We start from the raw sequence: 4,201 nt of genomic DNA on the forward strand, positions 1-4,201 counted from the left end.
TTTCAGAGTTACTAAGTGATCTTGTGAGGACAGAAATTTATTCTAATTGACCCTACAGCTAAATATATCAACATCATTGTAATCTATTTTATTTTATTACCATAAGGATGAAGATGCAATAAATTTTTGGTGAGCAAATTCAAGCTTCTCATTGCAATTATATACTCAAAATTAAATACATTTTTATTACAAAATAAGCACAATATTTGAAGAGTTAAAACTGAACATGTAAGCACTGATTGATTCACAAGATCTAAAAGCTATTCAGAAGCAACCCATAGGGGTGATCTTGCCTCATAAACACTCCCCACTCACTCTCACCCCACATGACCCACCACACTTTTAACCCTGATATTGATATGGGAAATGAAGAACTGAGAAAATCATGTGTGTAATTCAAGCAAAACAAAAAAACCTTCACCATACCTATTTGTTTAGTAGAGAATACAAAAAAGGTATTTATCTTAGCCTGACTAATTGTCTGAATCATTACCTTGATTCTTCGAATTGCTTAGCATGTTTATACCTGTGCAATGACTAAAGAATAAAACAAAGAAAAGAAACCATTCCCTTCAATGCCCAAACTGCAATTTTCTATTTGGGACCATATAACCTCTAGATAAGAATTGAGTGTTAATAGCCTCCCATTGATGTGTCTTATCAAGATAGATGCTTCTGTTTGCTTGACGTGCAGATGGTAGGCTATGAAAAATGTTAGTTTTCATTTATAAATTATTTTCCTTTAAACAGTAATTCTAGGCAAGTTTAACTGTATAAATTAGAGACCTTAAAATCTGTCTTCTTAATTGTCCTAAGAGAAATCAGAGCTCTCTTTTCACTAAAGTGTCTAATTTTTATTGTGTGAGTTCCTAAAGGAACAAAGCCTTTCATTAGATGGACATTTTCGTCTAATTCAACTAACGATTATTGTTTGATATCTACAATTTTCCATGATAATCTTTTTAAAAAGGTCACCATTTAGTTGTTAGTATGTAGTACAAGAAACAATGTAGAGGAAAAATAATAGGTTACATTTTAGAATAGGTATATGTTTTATTGTTATAGAATATCAATTTCAACTTTAGATTCTTATCAGATAATACATGATGGTCAAAAAGTAATAAGTAGTCCATCATTGTACACTTGCTAATGATTATGGGTATACTTGAATTTAGAATATGAAAATTGGAGCAGCGATTGGGTCCAACAATAGTCAATGCATTTAATACACCTGAAGTCAGAATGTCCAAGTAAGTCATTTTCATTCCTACCACCAGTAACAAATTGAAACTTTCGTATCAATGTAAATCTAGACATAAAGCAAGTTCTCCTGCCTCACATACTTACAGTTTCTAGCAGGACTTTATAAAAAACATTGACCATAGTCCATACTTGGAGCCAAAAGGAGGCATTAGACATAACTGGTGGAGGTCTTACTAAGCATTGTCGTATTTCTTCGCTTATCTGTGTGTGGCACACGGTAGCCAGGCACTGGATATCTGTACCCTTGCTTCTTTCTGTTGCAGCAGCAAAATCCACAAAGCAGACCCCCTCCAATGAAGAGGACAGCAGCGCTTGCCCAGCCAAGGAAAAGTGCTGCTCCCAGCTCTCGTTTCTGACCTATGTGGATGGCTGGGTTGTAGAAATCTCTGATGATTATATTGGCTGTCCAGCTCACCGGAATCAGAACGAAGATGCCCGTCAGGATGAAGAGGACTCCTGAAGTTCCCAGAAGGTATGCTTTGGCCCTCTCGTTAGAGCCTGTGCACTGGACCTGCTTCATGCCACAGATGCCAATAAGCAGGGCGATCAAGGAGAGAGCAACAGCCACACACATGAGGGCCCGGGCTGTTTCCAGGGCAGGCGGGAGAGCCAACAAGGAGCTATAGAACTTGCATTGCAACCGGACCCTGGCTTGTCGGATGCAATTCATCCAGAGCCCTTCCCAGAGCCTCTCAAAGACAATAATGTTGCTGCCAACAAAAGCTGATACTCTCCACTGAGGCAGAAGGGTTGTGGCAAGAGTCCCCACCATGCCAAGGAACCCAAGAACCAGCCCAGCAATTTGCAAGGGATAAAATGCCATTGCCTTTACTTTGAAGACTGGTTCAATTCGGAGTGGTAGAAGATGCTCAAGATGTAGAACGTGGAAGCCTTTTGAGTCTAGAGAAGTCTTTGATGATGTTCTCCTTGGCTGCTGCCCATAACGTTTTAGTCCAAATCAGTAGCTGTGACTGAACTTGGCCTAACTAGAAGTACCTGTTGTAAATGCATGTTGCCTTTTTTCATACACATTCATTTCAGTATGGATTATTTACTAGTCATATATAATTGTTTCCCAGCCAATAAGAAGGTAGCTAGGGGTGTGTCAAGAAATACTGCATTCAAGTTTAGGATTTCTCATATTATTATTGCCTTAGCAATGCTGTAATTAAGTGTCAAAGTTTCTATTGTGGATTGCTAATTACAGAGCTGAAACTTCCTGTGTAAAAATCACTCTGATATAAAAGTATAAATACATGTGTCAAGACACAGCTGAAGACAATGCCAAAATGTTGTAAGTTTATTGGGGAGTAATTAAAAAACATTTTGGACTTTATTACTTTATTCTAGTGTAAGTAAGCCACTTTTCCTTAAGATGGTAATCAATTCTGGCTTTAATAAAGATGCCTCAATAGGGAGAAATATTTAGGTATTAGTTTCAAGACACACGAAAACTGTTGATACTTAGCAGGAGCCCTAAGCAAGAAATTAACATTTCATAGTTTATTCTTAAGATCCAGAAAAGAAGAAAATAGAGAAGTACTCCTTATAATTAATTTGAATGAACTGTTAATTATTACATTAGCTGTTAAGGAACACCTCTCTCTCTATTGAAGTAATGTTTAATATGGAAACTTTCATTCAATGTTTCTTCAATGGCAGCTTGAAATAGATCACATTTATTAAAGCCAAACACATACCTTTCATTTTTATGGAACAATATAAAAGTGGCCCTTGAAATAAGCTATGCAGTCACTTAAAATTTAGACGCTAGAGAACAATTTAGTGCTGGAAGTTTATCTTCAAGGCCATCAAACTTAAGACCCTTATTTGCCAGATGAACGGGAGGTGTGCAAAGTGTTTGACTGAGACAAGCCATGTGGTAACTGATCCAGGAACAAGCCCAGCCCTGTAACTCACTATGCTTACCTCCTCTGTCTGGTCCGATTCAAAAATAGGAAGGAAAGATGCTTTTTCGAATCTTTTCATATAAGTGGGACTAAACCCAGTAGAAATTTAACACTATCCTTTCTATAGTTTTTCAAATGGTTTTCAAAGGAAGAAAAATTCAACTGAGATTATTTCAAAATTCGAGTCAAGTTGTAGCTTTTGACTGCCGCTTTCTTGCCACTCCCTAGAGGCAGTGGGGGGCTTCATGTGGGAGAAGTGGACCCTTTTCCTTTTTCTTTTACATCCCACTGGCAAGGGATCTATTCTAAGGATGAAAATGTCTCCAAAGCAAGCACGCCAACCACACTCCAGGTGGGAGGCATTACAATTTGCAAAATGTCCTCCATTTCAGTCAATTACCGGCCAAAGATTTAATGGCTGGTCCAATGACATCCAGATTTAAAGAGTCCACTCACTGAATTAATGAATGTGAAAATCACTGAGTTTTCAAAATGATTGGTCTGAGAACTCCCTCTCTAAGGAATGTGAATCATTGAGCAAACAGATGACTTCTGTGTCGTTAACAGTTTCCCAACACCGGATTGGATGAAGGGTTTCTTTGGCCCTTTGTTCATGGTTACTGAGACATAGGCTTAACCATTCCCTCCCTGACAGGATTTTCCAGCATTACTCTGATTTGTTACTTCTGGGTCCTCTTCCTTGTTCTAGTTCCTCTTCCTCATTCTACTTCAGTTTTATTCCTATGTTCATTTTGTCCTGGAAGTTTCCAGTGTTTTTTTCCAATTATTTGCTTTCTCATCAGCTAGAGCATATTATCTGTATTATAAGTGAGAACACATGTTTGTTTAAGATATGGAGATACCTCCTAAATATAAAAATAATCTGAGGCTGGGTACAGTGGTTCACATCTATAATCCCAACACTCTGAGAGGCTGAGGCAGGAGGATTTTTTGAGCCCAGGAATTTGAGACCAGCCTAGGCAAATAGTGACACCATGTTTCTACAAAAAACTAAAAATTAGCTGGAT

The 4,201-nt window shown here is 37.8% G+C and overlaps 1 protein-coding gene across 1 annotated transcript; it reads right to left on the reverse strand.

The window, feature by feature from the left end:
* Positions 1-1,033: 1,033 nt before the first annotated feature.
* Positions 1,034-2,274, reverse strand: CLDN17 (claudin 17). The gene has a single exon (NM_012131.3). It carries the CDS (start codon positions 2,084-2,086, stop codon positions 1,412-1,414), a length of 675 nt encoding a protein of 224 aa, NP_036263.1. The 5' UTR covers positions 2,087-2,274; the 3' UTR covers positions 1,034-1,411.
* Between the last annotated feature and the right edge of the window lie 1,927 nt (positions 2,275-4,201).

The sequence above is a fragment of the Homo sapiens genome, chromosome 21, assembly GCF_000001405.40.
Source record: "Homo sapiens chromosome 21, GRCh38.p14 Primary Assembly".
In the NCBI taxonomy this organism is placed as follows: domain Eukaryota; kingdom Metazoa; phylum Chordata; class Mammalia; order Primates; family Hominidae; genus Homo; species Homo sapiens.